The sequence below is a fragment of the Homo sapiens genome, chromosome 8 (genome assembly GCF_000001405.40).
Source record: "Homo sapiens chromosome 8, GRCh38.p14 Primary Assembly".
NCBI lineage: Eukaryota > Metazoa > Chordata > Mammalia > Primates > Hominidae > Homo > Homo sapiens.
This window is the reverse complement of record NC_000008.11, coordinates 94,753,456-94,775,222: the sequence shown is the minus strand read 5'-3', so window position 1 is coordinate 94,775,222 and position 21,767 is coordinate 94,753,456. Positions and strand designations below refer to the sequence as shown.

The 21,767-nt window shown below is 41.4% G+C and overlaps 1 protein-coding gene across 11 annotated transcripts in view; it reads right to left on the bottom strand.

The window, feature by feature from the left end:
• The window catches only part of DPY19L4 (dpy-19 like 4), a 73,937-nt gene that overhangs the window by 18,614 nt on the left and 33,556 nt on the right, over positions 1–21,767 (bottom strand). For 5 of the 11 annotated variants that reach the window (XM_005250894.5, NM_181787.3, XM_017013352.3 and 2 more), the window contains 7 exons: positions 19,064–19,187; positions 13,389–13,523; positions 9,909–10,040; positions 9,414–9,512; positions 8,538–8,611; positions 6,670–6,828; positions 4,652–4,771 (listed from right to left, as the gene is read on the bottom strand). In XM_005250894.5, the coding sequence (XP_005250951.2) occupies positions 4,652–4,771; positions 6,670–6,828; positions 8,538–8,611; positions 9,414–9,512; positions 9,909–10,040; positions 13,389–13,523; positions 19,064–19,187 (843 nt within the window). Of the gene's footprint in view, positions 1–4,651; positions 4,772–6,669; positions 6,829–8,537; positions 8,612–9,413; positions 9,513–9,908; positions 10,041–13,388; positions 13,524–19,063; positions 19,188–21,767 lie in introns of those variants that run through there. The other 6 variants (XM_047421714.1, XM_011516983.4, XM_047421715.1 and 3 more) reach the window with 4 other exon arrangements.

Below are 21,767 nucleotides of genomic sequence, written 5' to 3'. Positions count from 1 at the left end.
TCGGCAAGAGAACAGGACCCTGTCTCAAAAAAAAAAAAGGAAAGCTCTGCTCTTGTTTGCAGCTGATCTAGGGGCACAATGGTTTTGGCACACACAAAAAAATTGGAATACATGCATAGTTTTTTCACAATATGCATTTTTCATGAACTTTTTGAAGACCCCTTGTATCCACAGTGAAATATTTTTTAGCCTTGAAAAAGAAGAAAATCCTGTCATCTTACAACATAGATGAAATTTGATGACGTGACATTAAGTGAAATAAGCCAGTCACAAAAAGATAAACACTACAGGATTCCACTTACATGAGGTATCTAAAGTAAACAAATTCATAGAAATGGAAAATAAAGGCTGGGCGCGGTGGCTCATGGCTGTAATCCCAGCACTTTGGGGGGCCGAGGCGGGCAGATCACCTGAGGTTGGGAGTTTGAGTCCAGCCTGACCAACATGGAGAAACCCCATCTTTACTAAAAATACAAAATTAGCTGGGCATGGTGGTGCATGTCTGTAATCCCAGTTACTCAGGAGGCTGAGGCAGGAGAATCGCTTGAATCCAGGAGGTGGAGGTTGCGGTGAGCCAAGATCACAGCATTGCACTCTAGCCTGGGCAACAAGGTGAAACTCCATCTCAAAAAAAAAAAAAAAAGAAAGAAGTGGAAAGTCAAATGGTGATTATTAGAGGTTGAGGGTAGGGAAAAAAACGAGAGTTGTTCATTGATACACAGTTTTAGATTTACAAGATGAAAATGTTCTGCAGATCTGTTGTACAACAATGTGTGAATATACTAAACACTGCTGAATTGTATACTTAAAAAACATTAAGATGGTAGATTTTATGTTATGTACTTCTTTATCATAATTTTAAAAAAACTTAAATGTAGCTGGGCACAGGGGCTCATGCCTATAATCCCAACACTTTGGGAGGTTGAGGTGGGAGGATGGCTTGAGCCCAGGAGTTTAAGACCAGCCTGGGCAACATGGTGAGACTTCATCTCTACAAAAACTTTAAAAAATATTAGCCAGGCATGGTGACACCAGTCTGTGGTCCCAACTAGTTGGAAGGATATCGTGGGAGCACTGCTTGAGCCTGGGAGTTCGAGAGCACAGTGAGCTGTGATGGCACCACCGCACTCCAGTCTGGGCGACAGAACGAGACCCTGTCTTTTTTTTTTTTTTTTTTTTTTTTAACTAAAGACACAGCCTCACTCTGTCACACAGATTGGAGTGCAGTGGTGTGATCATGGCTCACTGTGGCCTAAAACTCCCAGGCTGAAGCAATCCATCCACCTCAGCCTCCATAGTGGCTGGGACCACAGACGCATGCCACCATGCCTGGCTTTTTTTTTTTTTTTTTGTAGAGATGGGGTCTTGCCATGTTGCCCAAGTTGGTTTCAAACTCTTGGGCTCAAGTGATCATCTGCCTCCGTCTCCCAAATTGCTGGGATTATAGGCGTAAGCCGCCACACCCAGCCTGTCTCTCAAAAACACAAAAACAAGGCCAGGCACAGTGGCTCATGCCTGTAATCCTAGCACTTTGGGAGGCTGAGTCAGGCGGATCACCTGAGGTCAAGAGTTCAAGACCAGCCTGACCAACATGAAGAAACCCCATCTCTACTCAAAATACAAAATCAGCCGGGCGTGGTGGCGCATGCCTGTAATCCCAGCTACTTGGGAGGCTGAGGCAGGAGAATCGCTTGAACTGGGAGGCAGAGGTTGCAGTGAGCCAAGATCACGCCACTACACTCCAGCCTGGGCGACAAAGACTCTGTTTCAAAAAACAAAAACAAAAACCAAAAACTTAAATATAATAATCTTCAATTCTATTAAACATTTAGTTTGTACACAAGTAACCTAATTGAAGAATTTAAAGCTCCAAACTTCTAAAGATGGTAACATTTTCTTCTTTCCTCTATTAAAGAAAGATAAGATGCTCCTATATGAATTACAACTTAAGAATAATTAACTTTAATATGCAAAGGATTTCATATATTGCCTTTTTTTTTTTTTTTTTTGATACGGAGTCTCACCCTGTTGCCCAGGTTGGAGTGCAGTGGCACGATCTTGGCTCACTGCAATCTCCGCCTCCCGGGTTCAAGCGATTCTCCTGCCTTAGCCTCCCAAGTAGCTGGGATTACAGGTGCCTGCCACCACACCCAGCTAATTTTTTTGTATTTTTAATAAAGACGGGGTTTCACCATGTTGGCCAGGCTGGTTTCAAACTCCTGACCTCAAGTGATCCGCTCGCCTCAGGCCCCCAAAATCCTAGGATTACAGGCATGAGCCACCATGCCTGGCCTCATATATTGCCTTTTATGAAATTTATTCCCATGCATCTTACTTATTGTGCAGTAAAGGATTAACCTTGCCTAAAAAGAGATTTGGCCTTTGCCCTCAACTCCTAGGAGGTAACCTCTTGCCTGATAAGAGCATCTTCATTTGCCTGGGTCCTTTGGGTCATGCATAAGAGTCTATGCTAACAGTGTGATTTATGGTGGGAGCCTTGGAGCATGTGGTGTCAGTTCAACCTGTGAAGGGCTGAAGGCTAAGGTCAGCCACACAGGTGGTCAACCACATATATATGACTGAGCCCCAATACAAACCCTAAACACAAAGCATGGGTGAGCTTCCCTGATTGACAGTACTCCGTGTGTACTGTCACACATCGTTTCTGAGAGGAAAACAGGTGCTGTCTGCACGATTCCACTGGGAGGGAACAAATGGTAGTTCTGTGCTTTGGTGTCTCCTGGACCTTGTCCTATGGGTCTCTTTCCTCTGCTGATTTTAATCTGTGTCTTTTCACTGTAACCAACTGTAACTTGAGTATGACTTTCCTAAGTTCTGTGAGTCCTTGTTAGTTATCAAGCCTGAGGGTAGTTTGGGGGACTCTCAAACTTGCAGTTGGTGACAGAAGTAAGGATGGTCTTAGGAATTTCTGACCATTGCATTCTGACCAAGCACACATTCCTAGACTGTGTGCTTCTGAGGAAGGGGGATCCTATCATGTATATAGCTATATCTCCCACTATTGCTAAAAGAGTATGAAAAAACTAAAAACTTGTGCAGAATGAATACATTTTAATAAAGTTTATTAACAAGATGGCATGATTTTCTATAGAAGCAGGAACAAGGGAAGTTTAAAAACTAAAGACTTAAAAATAAATAGTGCAAGATATGTTTCAAGGATTCAAACTCCCTAAAAAATTATTACATAACTTATCTAAATATTAACATGTGAATACCTATTTTGCCTTAACAAATTTAAGGTATACAGAACACTAAAATGATCAAGCAAGTGAAATATAAAAATTCTACCTTATTGAACATTAAATGGGGCCCTATATATATATTTTGTAAATGTCATTTGCCATTGAAAGACAATAAAAGAAATAAGGTAAGGAAAGGATAAAAGGGAAAACTCCAAAGTCCTCAACAAAGCCTGCCACATGCTCCCTGTGTTTCAGCCAGACTGAACTCCTTTTCCTCCCGCCAACAATGTGCCATGATCCTTCCTGCCCAGGCCTGGGCATATGCCATTCCCTCTACCTGCAGTACTCTTGCCTCTTTGGTTCACCTAGTCCACTCCTACTCACCCTTCAGGTCTCAGGCACTTTTTCCTTAGAGAACTTTTCTGATCTCTTTAAGTCAAATTCTGTTTTATATGTTCTTATAGCACCATGTACATCTCCTTCACTTACCAAAGTTGTAATTTTATTTTTGTATGATTGACATCTGTCACCTCCATTAGGCCATAAGTTAAATAAGGTTAGAGACTGTCTGTTCCACTATTGCTTATTGAGGTACCTTTAGCACCTAGCACAATGCCTAGAACTTGGAATATGTTCAATAGTTTTTTAACAAATGAATGAATAAGTAAATGTCAGTTCATTATAATATAAACACCTTTGTAAACTCCAGATAAATTAAGAAAGTTTATAGGTTTTGAGTTTTTATGAAGTTTTATGAATGCATTCTTGGATGTATCTACTTATTACCATTAAAAAAGACAATCTTTGCTGGGTGCGGTGGCTCACGCCTGTAATCCCAACACTTTGGGAGGCCAAGGTGGGCAGATAACGAGGTGAGGAGTTCAAGACCAGCCTGACCAATGTGGTGAAACCCTGTCTCTACTAAAAATACAAAAAAATTAGCCAGGTGCAGTGGCGCACGCCTGTAATCCCGGCTACTTAGGAGGCTGAGACAGGAGAATTGCTTGAACCTGGGAGGCGGAGGTTGAAGTGAGCTGAGATTGCACCACTGCACTCCAGCCTGGGTGACAGAGCGAGATTCTAAAAAAAAAAAAAAAAGACAATCTTTGTGGGTTTTCTGACTTTTTTTTTTGACGGGGTCTTGTTCTGTCACTCAGGCTAGAGTGCAGTGGCGCAATCTCGGCTCATTGCAACTTCTACCTCCCAGGTTCGAGAGATCCTGCCACCTCAGCCTCCCCAGTAGCTACCACACCCAGCTAATTTTTGTATTTTTAGTAGAGACGGAGTCTCACCATGTTGAGTGTTGACAGAGTCACACTGTCTCAAACTCCTGAACTCAGGTGAGCCACCCGCCTTGGCCTCCCAAAGTGCTGGGATTACAGGTGTGAGTCACCGCACTCAGCCAACAATCTTTGTTAAAACAAAGGGATCAAATAAAGTACACTTACCCTTCTATAACCATTGCAAGAGAACCCAATAAAATAGTGTGAATTACATGATAAATTATTTCTGGTCTTTCTCCAATTCGTCCATCTTCAAGAGTAACAGTTTCCTTCAGGGACTTACCACTACAAAAAGAAAATGTATTTTTTAATACTTTGAAAATGTATTTGTAAAAAACCAAAGATACATTGTTTATCATCTTTGAAGGACATACCTAAAATTTTATATTTCGTCATAACAAAAAATATAGGTGATCTTTTAAAATTTGAAAGTATATTCTGCTAGTTAAATACCTAACATATGTCTCTAAGTTTCTGCGAATGGCTTTTAGAACCTGAAGACAACAAACTCTATGAAGACTAAACATGAATTTTCAGCAAAATAAAAAAGGGTTAGGGGCAGTGACTTACGCCTGTAATCCCAGAACTTTGGGAGGCCAAGGTGGGCAGATCACTTGAGGTCAAGAGTTCGAGACCAGCCTGGCCAACATGATGAAACCCCATCTCTATTAAAATATAAAAATTAGCCGGGCATGGTGGCACATGCCTGTAATCTTAGCTACTCCGGAGGTTGAGGCAAGAGAATCGCTTGAACCTGGGAGGTAGAGGTTGCAGTGAGCCAAGATCACGCCACTGCACTCCAGCCTGAGTGACAGAGTAAGACTCTGTCTCAAAAAAAAAAAAAAAAAGAAAAGAATAATAAAGATTTGTAGGTTCTTCTTCCAAGATCAATTATGAATCAATTAGCAATTGCTAAATTAATATAGTTAAATGATAATTTGAATAACTAAATTCTTAAAATGAAGAAATTATATACAACCACGTTTCAAACATGATAAAAACATCAAAGGTTAGTCAAACTTTATAGCTTTTTTTTTTCTTTTTCTTTAAGAGACGGGGGTCTCACTATGTTGCCCAGGCTGGTGTTCAGCTCCTGGCCTCAAGCAATCCTCCTGCGTCAGCCTCTCAAATTGTTGGAATTACAGGCATAAGCCACTGCACCTGGCCTCAAACTTTATAATTTAAAATTACTTATACTGCTAACTTCATTTAAGTTAAATAGAAGAAATTATTCTTACGTTAAGTAAAAATTTGTATAAATTAGTGAATCAGTCTGTAAAAGTTTAACTGATTATTTAAATATCAGTTATATATTAAGTCTCTAACTATATTAAATCTGGACATTACCTATTTAGATATATAAAACTAAGTTTAGGGCTGAGCATGGTGGCTCACACCTGTAATCCCAGCACTTTGGGAGGCCAAGACGGGTGGATCACCTTGAGGTCGGGAGTTTGAGACCAACCTGACCAACATGGAGAAACCCCATCTCTACTAAAAATACAAAATTAGCTGGGTGTGGCAGCGCATGCCTGTCATCCCAGCTACTCGGGAGGCTGAGGTAGGAGAATCGCTTGAACCCAGGAGGTGGAGGTTGTGGTGAGCCGAGATCGTGCCACTGCACTCCAGCCTGGGGAACAAGAGCAAGACTCCGTCTCAAAAAAAAAAAAAAAACAAAAAAACTAAGTTTAAATTTTTCTGGTCAATACAACTTTTTTTTTTTTTTAGAGAGGGAGTCTCACTCTGTCGCCCAGGCTGGAGTGCAGTGGTGCAATCTCGGCTCACAACCTCTGCCTCCCGGGTTCAAGCGATTCTCCTGCCTCAGCTTCCCGAGTAGCTGGGATTACAGGCGCACCCAGCTATTATTAGATGGGCACCCATCACGCCCAGCTAATTTATGTACTTTTAGTAGAGATGGGGTTTCACCATATTGGACCGGCTGGTCTCAAACTCCCAACCTTGCGATCTGCCCGCTTCGGCCTCCCAAAGTGCTGGGATTATAGGCATGAGCCACCGCACCTGGCCAACACATCTTATAATGATATTTTCCATGTCAATGAAAAGAGAATGGAAATAGAAGCTCTAAAACAAATACAGAAATCTTGGAAGAATATTAAAAATAAGTATTTTATATATTTCCATAATTTATGTTAGTAATATGATTGATTCTCATAGGTACTTACTTAATCCTCCTAAAAATAACTTGCAACATAGAAAGAAAACAAATAATTAACACTAGAATGTAGAAAGGTAATAAAGAAGACTGTGTCAATCGCAGAAAAAAATCTTGAGATGGTGCCTGCAGGGATTCTTGACAGAGGAGCCAATTCATTGTAAAATTCCTATAGAAGACAAAAAGTATGATATTAAATTCATAGACGTTTTAAACTGAACACAGAAGTATTTTTTTTAATATCAGCAAAAACTAAGAAAAAACACATTTCCTAAACCCGTTTACTTATATTAGCAAGGTACTATCCTTTATAAATGAAGATAATAGTATCATATTAGTAAACAAAGCATGTGCTCTCACCAAAACTGCTCTAATAAATGTAAAACTGCTGCTTTTTATTACCAAGTAACGTGACCATCTCTAAAGCCCAATATAGCTTTTAGGGAATTTTGGTTTCTATCTTTATCTAGAAGACAACAAACAATTCGGCCGGCTAACCTCTACAAATGCATTGTTGAATATGGTAGCTACTAGAGACATGCAGTTTTTAAACAGCTGAAATGTGGCCAATTCAAATTGAGACATACTTTAAGTACAAAATACACCCAGGATTTCAAAGAAAAAAAGAGCGAAATAATGATTTGAAAAACAAAATATCTCCTTAATAATTTTTACATTGTTTACAAATTATTTTTATATATTAGAGAAAATATATTAAAATTAATTTCACTTGTTTCTTTGTATTTTTTAAAATACAGCTACTAGAAAATTACAATTACATAAGTGGTTCACATATTATTATTGGATAGACCTACTGTATATTGACAAATGTAATTCAACTAGGACCCATTTTAAAAAGAGATACCTACTTATTAAGATAAATCATAAAATCTGAAATGTAAACCTTTTGAGCAGTATGAATCAGGATAAACATTTTTCAACTCTAAGTATGATCAACAAGACTCCTCGTTGAGCCAGGCAAGGTGGCTCACGCCTGTAATCCCAGCACTTTGGGAGGCCGAGGCGGGCAGATCACGAGTCAGGAGATCGAGGCCATCCTGACTAACACAGTGAAACCCCGTCTCTACTAAAAATACAAAAAATTAGCCGGGCATGGTAGCGGGTGCCTGTAGTCCCAGCTACTCGGGGGGCTGAGGCAGGAGAATAGCATGAACCCAGGAGGCGGAGCTTGCAGTGAGCCGAGATCGTGCCACTGCACTCCAGCCTGGGCAACAGAGTAAGACTCCATCTCAAAAAAAAAAAAAAAAGACTCCTGGTTGTATATATGTTTATCTGCATTCTCATTTCTCATCCATCTCTAAACTCCAATCCTCAATCCCTAGCCGTGGGAAAAGATGTTAGAGATGGAGTGATGTTCAGGAATGCTCAGTGATGGACTGAGAATGTCTACTTCAAATCACTGGGTTTAGAACAAAATGTTAAAATTTAACAATATGGCAAATACATTCTAAGTGGTATTTTTTTTTTTTTTTTTTTAGACAGGGTCTCACCGTTGCCCAGGCTGGGGTGCACTGGCGTGATCTTGGCTCACTATGACCTCCACCTCCCAGGCTCAGGTGGTCCTCCCACCTCAGCTTCCTGAATAGCTGGAACCACAGGCATGCACCACCACACCCAGCTAATTTTTTTTGTTTTTTGTTTGTTTGTTTGGTTGTCTTTTTTTTAGAGATGGGGTTTTGCCATGTTGCCCAGACTGGTCTCAAACTCCTGGACTCAAGTGGTCACAATCCACCCACCTCGGCCTCCTAAAGTGCTGGGATTACAGATGTGAGCCACTATGCCCGGCCATCGAGTATTTTTTATCTTTATTTTCTAAGTGGTATCGATTTAGGTAAACTTACATAATCTAAAACTTACTTGGTCATATTTAGTCCAAATTTTACTTCAAGGAATTTCAGCATGTGCCCATTTTCTTTGTGTGGGACAAACATCTAGAAGAGAAAAACACCAGTTAAACAAAGAAATATTAGCTATGCTTACAAACATATGCTTTCCCCAATACTAGAGACAGAAAACACAACAAGACTACAAAACAAAAATATGAATAAATAATATACGGTATGACTATGAAGCAAGGAGATTTACTGACATAAATCAATCCCATGACCTTATGCTGAAGCATAAACTACAATGGCGTAGTAAGAACATTTCTTTTTTCTTTTTTTTTGAGACAGAGTTTCACTCTTGTTGCCCAGGCTGGAGTGCAATGGCACGATCTTGGCTCACTGCAACCTCTGCCTCCCGGGTTCAAGCAATTCTCCTGCCTCAGCCTCCCAAGTAGCTGGGATTACAGGCGCAAGCCACCACGCCCAGCTAATTTTTTGTATTTTTAGTAGAGACGAGGTTTCACTATGTTGGCCAAGCTGGCCTCAAACTCCTGACCTCAGGTGATCAACAACATTTCAACCTTATCCCACCAGGCTCAAGTAACTCACCCACTCTTCTAAACACTTTTCATTTGTCTCACTTTATTCCATATATTGCTTAATGTTAACTGGGTAATGATGACATTTTTAACTTAATGAAAAATATGCATTCCCTTTTTCAACTACATACAGAAAAGAATCAGAATCCTACTTTCTTACCCAGTATGCTAGTTATGATTGTTGTTTAACTCAAAATTATACTGTTCAAACTCTATTACGTGCTATCTCATTATTCTCATTAAAATGTAGTCCAATATATTTCATTATTCATTTTGTTTTACTATATGAATCCCAGAGAGTTACTTACCTTCATTATAATATTCAATGTTATTGTCAGAGTACACACCAAGTAAAAATTAATCACTTTTATTATTTTAGCTACAAAACTTCCTTTCTTCACATTCAGCTGTGGAGGAAAAATCATATGAACAAAGAAGTGAGGTGTTAAAAAATTAACAATTTAAAAAGTAATCATAAGAATGGCCGAGCACAGTGGCTCAAGCCTGTAATCCCAGCACTTTGGGAGACCAAAGATAGGGGATCACTTGAGGTCGGGAGTTTGACACCAGCCTGGCCAAAATGGTGAAACCCAGTCTCTACTAAAAATACAAAAATTAGCTGGGTGTGGTGGCGCATGCTTGTAATCCCAGCTACTTGGGAGGCTGAGGCAGGAGAATCACTTGAACCCGGGAGGCAGAGGTTGCAGTGAGCTGAGATGTACTCCAGCCTGGGCAACAGAGTGAGACTCCACTTCAAAAAAAAAAAATCAAAATAAGAACAATAAAAAGATAATTCTAGTTACCTGAAGGCACTTAGCAAGCATTAAGGCTGCTACTAAACTTAATAAAGGAGATACCAACAAAGCTGGATTCTCAAACTGTAGTAAATATCCCAGAAAGAGGGAAAATATGTAGATTTTATAAACTTCATAAACCTGTTGTGACAAAAATAAAATAAGTGAGAATAAGTTATATTTTATCATACATATTTTCATTTGTTTTATATAGATTTAACTATAATTATACAGTTAATGCTCTACTATAATTTAGGAAAGTATTATGCAAATGTTTAATCAATATTTTTAATGTTGGCCGGGCATGGTGGCTCACATCTGAAATCCCAGCACTTTCAGTGGCCAAAGTGGGTGGATCATTGAGGTCAGGGGTTCGAGACAAGCCTGGCCAACATGGTGAAACCCATCTCTATTAAAAACAAAAAAAATTAGCTGGGCATGGTGGCAGGAACCTGTAATCCCAGCCACTCGGGAGGCTGAGGCATGAGAATCGCTTAACTCAGTAGGTGGAGGTTGCGGTGAGCCAAAATCGCACCACTGCACTCCAGCCTGGGCAACAGCACAAGACTCTGTCTCAGGACAAAAAAAAAAAAAAAAAAAAAAAAATATATATATATATATATATATATATATACACACACAGACACACACACACACGCATACATACATACATACATATATATATAATATATATGTATAAAATAGTGTGTAATTAACTTATCACTGTTTTCTTTTTTTTTTTTTTTTTGAGACGGAGTCTCGCTCTGTCGCCCAGGCTAGAGTGCAGTGGCGCGATCTCGGCTGACTGCAAGCTCTGCCTCCCGGGTTCACGCCATTCTCCTGCCTCAGCCTCCCGAGTAGCTGGGACTACAGGTGTCACCACCACGCCCGGCTAATTTTTTTGTATTTTTAGTAGAGACGGGATTTCACCGTGTTAGTCAGGATGGTCTCGATCTCCTCACCTTGTGATCTGCCCGCCTCAGCCTCCCAAAGTGCTGGGATTACAGGCGTGAGCCACACACCCGGCCCTTATCACTGTTTTCTTAAAACTCTCTGGAAACAAAATAAAGAGCTTTAAAAGCATCAGTGTCTAAATCAGACTGGAAGAACCTTCTTAATTTCACTTAGTTTGCCCTGTTATTAAAATTCATCTATGCAACCTCAAATTACATAAATCAAAAATCATAATTTTTAGCAGTAGCCCCCAAAACCTACCCAGTGAAAATATACTGCCATGAAATGCACCATCAGAGTAAAGTATTGTTTTTGGTCCAACTAGTGAGCATAACAAAGTTAAATGCAATGTTTTATTAGAAGATCTCCCAGAAAATAGTTATATGCTAAAAAACAGGCCAGACTCGGTGGCTCACATCTATAATCCCAGCACGCTGGGAGGCAGAGGCGGGAGGATGGCTTGAGCCCAGGAGTTTTAGACCAGCCTGGCCTGGGCAACATGGCAAAACCCCATCTCTGTGAAAAACAGAAAAATCACCTGGGGCTGGGCGCAGTGGCTCACGCCTGTAATCCCCCTGCACTGTGGGAGGCCAAAGAGAGCGGATCACTTGAGGCCAGGAGTTCAAGACCAACCTGGCCAACATGATGAAACTCATTCTCTACTAAAAATAAAAAAAAAAAATGAGCCCGGTGTGGTGGGGCATGCCTGTAATCCCAGCTACTCAGGAGGCTGAGGCAAGATAATCACTTGAACCTGGGAGGCGGAGGCTACAGTGAGCTGAGATCGCACCACTGCACTCCAGCCTGGGTGACAGAGCAAGACTCTGTCTCAAAAAAAGAAAAAAAAAAAAGAAAAGAAAAATCAGACGGGCATGGTGGCACGCACTTGTAGTCTCAGCTACTCAGGAGGCTGAGGTGGGAGGATTGCTTGAGCCTGGGAGGCGGAGGTTGCAGTGAGCTGTGATTGAGCCACTGCACTCCAGCCTGGGTGACGGAGTGAGACCCTGTCTCCAAAAAAGTAAAAATAAATAAAAATAAAATAAAAAACAAACAAAAAGACAGAAAAAAAATCAGTCAATAGCCAGAGCCATTTAAAAAAAAAAAAAAAAAAAAAAGATACCTTGGCCAGGTGCGGTGGCTCACACCTGTAATTCCAAAGCTTTGGGAGGCTGAGGCGGGCAGATCACAAGGTCAGGAGTTCGAGATCAGCCTGGCTAACATGGTGAAACTCTGTCTCTACTAACAACACAAAAACTAGCTGGGCATGGTGGCAGGCGCCTGTAATCCCAGCTACTCGGGAGGCTAAGGCAGGAGAATCGCTTGAAGCCGGGAGGCAGAGGTTGCAGTGAGCTGAGATTGAGCCACCGCACTCCAGCCTGGGCAACAGAGTGAGACTCCATCTCAAAAAAAAAAAAGAGAGACCTCACTGTTACAAGTCAGAACAGTAGCTACCCTGTTGGGGGTTGAAGTAATGACTGGGAGAGAGAGCAAGATGGAGTCTTCTGGGTGCTGGTAATGATCTATTCCCTTTTTTAATTTTTTAGAGGTGGGATCTTACCATGTTGCTCAGGCTGGTCAAGTGATCCTCCCGCCTCAGCCCCCACCCCACCCAGTTAATTTTTAAAAATTTTTTGTAGGGATAGGGTCTCACTATGTTGCCCAGGCTGGACTTGAATTCCTGGGCTCAAACAATCCTCCTGCCTTGGCCTCCTGAGTAGCTGGGACTACAGGCATGTGCCACCACACCTGGCTTACGTTCTATTTTTGATTTGGGCTCTGGTTCTACAGATGCGTGCCAGTTACCAAATAACTCTCTTAGCTCCAAACTCCCTTTTCTATCCTTTGCCTGGCAATGCTGGGCCTGGGACTCTGCAATCTACATTTCTGCTTTTCCTGTTGGTTCCCTATGAAGCTCTGCCAGTAGGAAATGGTAGAGGGAAAGTGCAAGCCTGGCTCCTTCCTCTTGCTTCCTGATGGCTTGAGGGTCCTGTGATCTCACCTCAAGGATGCTTCTTCACCCCAACAGAGCAATTACTTCCTATGGAAGCACCGGATGCAGCTGCAGTTTTTCCAACACTTCAAGAACCAGCTTCATCACATCTTCCAGCTCAAGAAACCCAAGAGCAGCCAGCCATAGCCACATCCTCAGACGCCTGGGTCTCATTTCTGAAGGGCCCTACTTTTGAGCAAAGCTGATATTTCTGAGCTCAAAAGTCTGAGTATCAGCTCTGTGAGGTCCCTGTTCTACATTTCTACATTTTAATAATTTCATCTTTTTCCCTAGCAGTTAACTGCTTTCTGCAGTTGCGATCTCTATGAAACTTTCAGGCTCATATCACCCTTTCGTTTAGCAAGTTAATGACTTTATACTTGGTTAACAATTTATATTAACTTCTCTCTGTCCAAATAACTTAAATATTGTATGCATCGGGGTTCCCATATGAGTGTATGGATGAAGAAAAGAGAGGTTTTAAGATACAATGCTATAAATACATTTATTCTCTTAAAAATCACCATTTCAAAATGCCATAATACCTTGTCACTTTGCTCCACTGAAAAGGTATCTAGCAGGAATAGAGATATTGCTTGAAGAAACAGGAGATAGTGGCTATACTCCCACATCATCATAAATGTGTAAGTTGAAGCACTCATCAACAAGTAGCAAAACCTCTAGGGAAAACAAATGAAAGAAACTAAATATCAATAACTTTATTACAATAAAAGCCTATGAGACTGTTACCTCAAAGTTGTAGCTCTGTTACTCGTTCAACTTTAAGCTATATAATTATTGAAACTTTGTTTTTAAATCACATAATTATTATTAAATCCTTACAAAAACGACAAGAGCTCAAATAAGGCACTTGAGAGAAATCAACTACTTGTCCTTCAATGTTCAACATCACATTGAGAATTTCAGGAAGACAAAGGGGAAGAAAAAGAAAATTCAATATAATTTTCTTTCATCCCAAAAGAAGTAAAGCAATAAATACAAGAAAGGGTGGCATTTACTAGACCTGGCTGGTGAGCTTTTGTTATTGGGGAGGCAACTCCTTTTGCTGTGAAAATAACATTTCACTTCCATGGTGCTTCAAGTTTTAATAATTTCCTATTTTTCCCTTTGTTCCCTCAGTCCTGGTGGTGGTAGCTGCTTTCTGGAGTTGCGATCTCTATGAAACTTTCAGGCTCTATTACCCTTTCATTTAGCAAGTTAATGACTTTATACTTGGTTAACAATTTATGTTAACTTCTCTCTGTCCAAATAACTTAAATGCTGGTATTCATCAGGGTTCAGAACTTATTTTCCTAAGAACTTCATTTAAATAGTCTGCTTACATCTCAGCCTATTCCACAGCCCATGTCTTTGCTTTTTTCATTTCCTGTCAACAGAAGTATTATCTTTCCCCAATGCCTGTACTGTCAGCCATATTAAACTTTCAGCTGTTTTCCTCTGCTAAATACTAAACACAAGGGATGTCCTTGCCCTTGCCGAAAATCTGCCTGGCTAAGTCAATTCTGTCCTTCAAAATGTCATCTCCCATGTGATCCCTTGGCAAGTTACCAAGTCTGTGACAAATCCCATAACGTATGCAACAACAGCCTCTCCTTCTTCTATGGACCTACTTTTAAATTCTGGATCCCTTCACTGGCTGTAGTGTCAAATGACCTTGCTCAGATAAGAACAGTGAAGGAGAAGGACAATAAAGGTCAGTCAAGAAACCTAAGATAAGAACTGTGCTCTCTGAAACTAAGTCTTTCATACTCAGCTGACTATACTCAAGGATAAATTCCAGAGTCAGAAATATCTCAGCCATCAGCAGATAAAATAATTTTCCAGCATCCTGAATAAGATTAAGACCAGAGAACCGAATGTAAGAAATGGCAAACTTCCACCTGTTGGGCAAATAACACCAACTGCAAAGCACAGAAGGGCTCTGACATAAGCTTCTGCTCTTCCTGTCACCATAGCTGTGCACAGGGCAAGGGTTCTGGAAGCCTTCTAACGTGGAACAAACAGAACTGTAATAACCAGACACCATCATCCCCAGAGAAATCAGTTCCAGAAAGCAATGAAGGCTCAAATCTAGACCCAGCCTAATTAATGTACTGGGCATTTGGAGATTGCTTCTGAGATTCTGGGGGAAACCTACAACATACTAAAACAAATTGTTAATTCCAAGGGTTGACTCTCAAACTACTCTAAGAGCATACAGTAAAAATGTCTTAAAGATAGAACTACGTATCAAACACAACCTGGAGAGTTAGCAAAGTTATTCCTTTCCCTGAGCATTTTCAAGGTTCTGTGCAGTCTTGCCTACCCTGACCTTGCTTGCTGTGTCTCACAGGGCTTCACTTTCACTGTGCCTGTAGTGTGAACTTTTTACACATAGGATTTATGTGATACATCAAACAGGCTTCAATAATCAACCACAAATGTTTCTGAATGACTCCAGATAATTGCACAAAAGATTGAACTGAAGTTGGATATCCTGAGGCAACTGGGACCACGAAACTTAGCCTCAAGAATGGGAAGCAAAATACAAAATATGTGATTTTAAAAAAGTACATGGGCCGGGCACAGTGGCTCACACCTGTAATCCCAGTACTTTGGGAGGCTGAAGCGGGCGGATCACCTGAGGTCGGGAGTTCGAGACCAGCCTGACCATGGAGAAACCCTGTCTCTACTAAAAATACAAAATTAGCTGGGCTTGGTGGCACAGGCCAGTAATCCCAGCTACTTGGGAGGCTGAGGCAGGAGAATCGCTTGAACCTGGGAGGCAGAGGTTGCAGTGAGCTGAGATCATGCCATTGCACTCTAGCCTGGGCAACAAGAGCAAAACTCCGTCTCAAAAAAAAAAAAAAAAAAAAAAAGAACATGTAGACCAGGCACAGTGGCTCACACCAGTAATCTCAGCGCTTTTGAGAGGTGAAGCCAGCTGAACTTCCTGGGTTGAGTGGGGACTTGGAGAACTTTTCTGTCTTACAAGAGGATTGTAAAATGCACCAATCAGTGCTCTGTAATATGCACCAATCAGCGCTCTGTAAAATGCACCAATCAGCAGGATCCTAAAAGTAGCCAATCACAGGGGGGATTGAAAAAAGGGCGCTCTGATAGGACAAAAATGGAACATGGGAGAGGACACATAAGGGAATAAAAGCTAGCCACCCCAGCCAGCAGTGGCAAACCACTTGGGTCCCCTTCCATGCTGTGGAAGCTTTGTTCTTTCGCTCGTCACAATAAACCTTGCTACCGCTCACTCTTTGGGTCCATGCCATCTTTAAGAGCTGTTAACAGTCACCACAAGGGTCCGCGGCTTCATTCTTGAAGTCAGCGAGACCATGAACCCACTGGAAAGAACCAACTCCGGACACACTTTGGGAGGCCAAGGCAGGCGAATCACTTGAGCTCAGGAGTTCAAGACCAGCTTGGCCAACATGGTGAAACTCCGTCTCTACTAAAAATACAAAAATTAGCTGGGTGTGGTGACGTGCATCTGCAGTCCTGGCTGCTAGGGAGGCCGATACATGGTAATCGCTTGAACTTGGGAGGCGGAGGTTGCAGTGAGCTGAGATTGTCCCACTGTACTCCAGCCTGGGCAACAGAGCAAGAGACTCCGTCTCAAAAAAAAAAAAAAATTGCTAAAATACTACTCAGCGATGACAAGGAGCAAAGTATTCACATACAGTAACTCACATGGATGTCAAGGGCATTATTAGGCTGAGTGAAAAAAGCTAATCTTAAAAGGTTACATACTACATGATTTGATTCCATTTATATAACCTTTCAAGGTGACAAAATTATAGTGATAGAGAATAGATCAGTGGTTGCCAGAGGTTTGGGTTACAGGAAGGATGTGATTATTAAGGTACACAGGATTTTCTTAGTGGTGACGGAAGAGTTCTATGTCTTGATTATGATGACAGTTACTCAAATTTATACGTGTGATAACAACTAATATGACTATACACCCACTTTCCACAAAAGCAGTATATGTAAAACCTGGTGAAATCTGAAGAAAGTCAGTGCCTGAATTAACAGTATTATATCAATGTCAATTTATTGACTTTGACAAGGTATTATGGTCATGCAAGATATTACTGGGGGAAGCTGGGTGAGGGGTCAAAAATGTAGTAAGCCTAGATCACGCCACCGCACTCCAGTCTGGGTGACAGAGCGAGTCCACGTCTCAAAGAAACAAAGAGATAAATATAAAGAAACTTAGGCAGTTCATTTTGCTATACCAAACTCTATTTTTTTTTGGAGATGGAGTCTTACTCTGTTGCTCAGGCTGGAGTGCAGTGGTGTGATCTCAGCTCACTGCAACCCCCACCTCCGGGTTCAAGCGATTCTCCCACCTCAGCCTCCCAAGTAGCTGGGAGTACAGCTGTGCACCACCACACCCAGCTAATTTTTTGTTATTTTTAATAGAGAGAGGGTTCACCATGTTGGCCAGGCTGGTCTCGAACTCCTGACCTCAGGTGATTTGCCTGCCTCAGCCTCCCAAAGTGCTGGGTAATATTATAGGTGTGAGCCACCACACCCGGCCTATATGAAACTCTTTTACTTAACAATTGAAAAACTATTCTTCCCTGACAGCTGTACAATCAAACAGGAAAATATTCAATCATAGACTACCTGACTATTAAAGAAAATATACTCTTGGCCAGGCGCAGTGGCTCACGGCTGTAGTCCCAGCCCTTTGGGAGGCTGAGGCGGGTGGATCATTTGAGTTCAGGAGTTCGAGGCCAGACTGGCCAACATAGTGATACCCCGTCTCTACTAAAAATACAAAAATTAGCTGGGTGTGGTGCTGGGTGCCTGTAATCTCAGCTACACAGGAGGCTGAGGCAGGAGAATCGCTTGAGCCCGGGACGCAGAGGTTGCAGTGAGCAGAGATCACGCCATCACACTCCAGCCTGGGCAACAGATAGCAAGACTCTGTCTAAAAAAAAAAGAAAATATACTCTTGTGCAGAAAGATCTTTATACAAATACAACATAAAGGAAGATCACAAAGCTGAAATGTGTTCATGTTATTTTACATGCAAAAAAGGAAATGCTAGTTATAAAAATGAAATAATAAAGTTTGCTATGCTCAGGACATTTGTCACCACTGAAAGGAGAAAAGAATAGCACATTTTTTCAGAGATTTTTATAAAGGACCCATAAGTGCATCCTGTTTCCTGGACAACCAGGTTTAATAATCTCTGCTCTCTTTTTCTAGCCAGTAATTCTTAACCCCAGATAAGAAGACTATCAAAGGACTGTTACAATTCAGTCAATTTCAATATAACTGGTTGCCTCTATAATCATTTTATGTATTTTAAATCATTATTCTTTTTCTTTTTGGAGACAGGGTCTCTCTGTCGCCCAGGCTAGAAGGCAGTGGCGTGATCTCAGCTCACTACAACCTCCGCCTCCCAGGTTCAAGGGATCCTCCCACCTCAGCCTCCCAAGTAGCTGGGATTACAGGCGTGTGCCACCACACCTGGCTAATTTTTGAATTTTTATTAGAGATGAGGTTTCACCATGTTGGCCAGGCTGGTCTCAAACTCCTGACCTCAGGTGGGTCCGCCCCTCTCAGCCTCCCACAGTGCTGGGATTACAGGCATGAGCCACCATGTCTGGCCTAAAATCATTATCCTGAGACAGACTCCACAGGCTTCTTCCAACTGCCAAAAGGGCTGTGGCAACAACAATAACAATAACAATGTAAGAATCTAAACTACCAGGGACAGTCTCCTGAAATTTTTACCAACCTACCTATACCTCAGTCACAGAAAACATGAGAAGAAACAGAATACGCAGTGCTGCCATTCAAGTTAACACTCCTGTCATTTGTGGTCACTCTTTACATCTTGTTTAATATATCTTTAAATCATGGTGATTGAAGGCCATCAATGTTCCAGAAGTCCGAGAAGTGATAAAATAACAGTGGAACAGATTTTCAAAATAAGATATGTTTCATATATTTGTCAAGTTAACTATATTAAAATGATAAAACATCTCCTTTCTCCTAATTTACTGTTAATCAGATTACAGAGTAACAGTGTTGTAAGAAAACTACCTAACTATATCTTTTATTATGTAGTAACCAGGCTTCATTAAATATGATTTAATTCTTACTAGGACTAAAATTTATTTGCTATTATGTGCCACATTTGCAATACATCAGAATTAGCTGCAACAGATAAAACAGATTTGTATCTTACCTCTCCATAAGTATTTAAGTTGCTTTTTAAATAGCCTGTAAGTGCAGCAATTTGGCATGCAAAATATGGTAGTGCCCAGTTTTCTCTTAAAGGAATGGAGTATTCAATTCTTGTTGTATCTACCCTAAAATAAACCACAGATGAACAGTAAAAATAAGACATTATATTTGTGTTACACTATACTTTTCAAAGTACTTTAACACAAATCTCATTGTTCTCCATAACAATCCTGTGAGGTAGGCATAGCCAGATCCACCATTGTCCTTTTTTTTTTTGAGATGGAGTCTCGCTCTGTCGTCTAGGCTGGAGTGCAGTGGCACGATCTCAGGTCACTGCAACCTCTGCCTCCAGGATTCAAGTGATTCTCCTGCCTCAGCCTCCTGCGTAGCTGGGATTACAGGCGCGCGTCACCACACCCGGCTAATTTTTATATTTTTAGTAGAGACAGGGTTTCACCGTGTTGTCTCAAACTCCTGACCTCAGGTGATCCACCCGCCTCGACCTCCCAAAGTGCTGGGATTACAGGCATGAGCCACCGCACCCAGCCCAGATCCACCATTGTCTATACAGCATCTTTGAGCAAATTAATAGGGTCTCACCCCCAGCCCCCGCTGCCCCCAAGAAGCTGCAGAGCTACTGTGCACTACTTGGTGAAACAGATGGGCCTCTGTGAGAGATTGAAGAAGGCATGCCTTCTCTGGACAGACCCCATGCTAAGGTACACAGCTTGTTGCACAGAGTACCCCAGATTTCAGCCCCACCCTCCCTTCCCTTAACCAGATGGCTATCCTTCACTAGAGTGTACAATCTGCACCGCATAATTAGCAGCATGGTAGATCCAAAGTTCTTATTCCCCTTTACAAAAGGAGTATGAAGTTCAGAAATGTAAGGTAACTTAATCAAAGCCATCCAGCTAGTAGGTGGCATAATTGGGATTAAAATGCTTATCTTTTGATATCTAATTCAATAATCTTTTCAGTCAGCAGGTTCCCCAGAATTAATATCACAGTCTTATATGTGATATACTTAGAGACTTTTGAAAATTCCCAGAATCAGAAATATAGGAATGTCAGGCCGGGCACGGTGGATCATGCCTGTAATCCTAGCAATTTGGGAGGCTGAGGCAGGTGGATCACTTAAGCTCAGGAGTTCCAGACCAGCCTGGCCAACATGGTGAAACCCGTCTTTACTAATAACACAAAAATTAGCCTGCCGTGGTGGCGCGTGCCTGTAGTACCAGCTACTTGTTAGGCTGAGGCAGGAGAATCACTTGAACCTGGGAGGCGGAGGTTGCAGAGAGCAGAGATCGCACCACTGCACTCCAGGCTGGGTGACACAGCAAGACTCTATTTCAAAAAAATGAAAAAGAAATATAGGAATGTCTTTGTAGCTTCCTCCTAAATTTCTCCTCAATCAATTTTCATTGAGAGCTTGTTGTGTTGTGTGCATATCCACATACCACAAGGGGACTACCTATCCAGCAATCATAGAATTTGGCTCTCTTGCACTCAATAGCTATTTTCTACACAAAAATAAAGGTGCTATTGTTTTTTTGAAAATTTATGAAAATTGCTGCCTAACTTTCCTAAGTAATAATGATGAACATACTTGCATGTTAACTTGGTTCCCTCAAAGGCCAAGTAATACACTCCTGAATACTGGTATCAGAGTTGGTAATTATATTTCCAATTACACCAATCAGGAACTACTGAATTGTTTGCAAATAATCAAAATTACAAATGTTACATCCTCACAGACCAAGAAGATAAAGTTGCAACAGCAATAAATCCAACCAGGCTCGGCACGTTATCACAGCCAAAAGAAACAAACACATACTTCAAAATGCCATGAAAACAAAGGAACAAAACATTTCTGAGAAAGCAGTTTTCTCCTTATATAACAGCAGCATACATAATAAATCTTAAAAATCATTTTTACTCATCTCTTTTCCTAGTCTCAGACCTCTAAGCACTAATAACTTTTTTCCTATTCCCTCCCCAATTGCTGGAGTACAGTGACACGATCACGGCTCACTGCAGCCTCGACCTCCCAGGCTCAGATGATCCTCCCACCTCAGTATCCCCAAGTAGCTGGGATTACAGGCACATGCCACCATGCTCATCTAATTTTTTGTATTTTTAGTAGAGCCAGTGTTTTGCCACGTTGCCCAGGCTGGTCTCAAACTCCTGGGTTCAAACAATCTGCCTGCCTTGGCTTCCCAAAGTGCTGGGATAACAGGTGTGAGCTACCACGCCCGGTAGCACAATGTACTTTCTTTTCTTTTTTTGAAACGGAGTCTTGCTCTGTCGCCCAGGCTGGAGTGCAGTGGTGCAATCTCAGCTCACTACAATCTCCACCTCCCAAGGTTCAAGCGATTCTCCTGCCTCAGCCTCCTGAGTACCTGGGACTACAGGTGCCTGCCACCACGCCTGGCTAATTTTTTGTATTTTTAGTAGAGATGAGGTTTCACTATGTTGGCCAGGCTGGTCTTCAACTCCTGACCTCGTGATCCACCTGCCTCGACCTCCCAAAGTGTTGGGATTACAGGCTTGAGCCACCGCACTTTCTTATGTCAAGTCATCTGCAGCCCTCTCTGTGAGTCTTCAAAATTATATTTTGACCATTTTCTGTTTAGCACAACAGTTCAGTAGCTAAGCAAAAACAAAAGAATTTCCTAGGAAGAAAGAGATAAAAACAGGGTAAA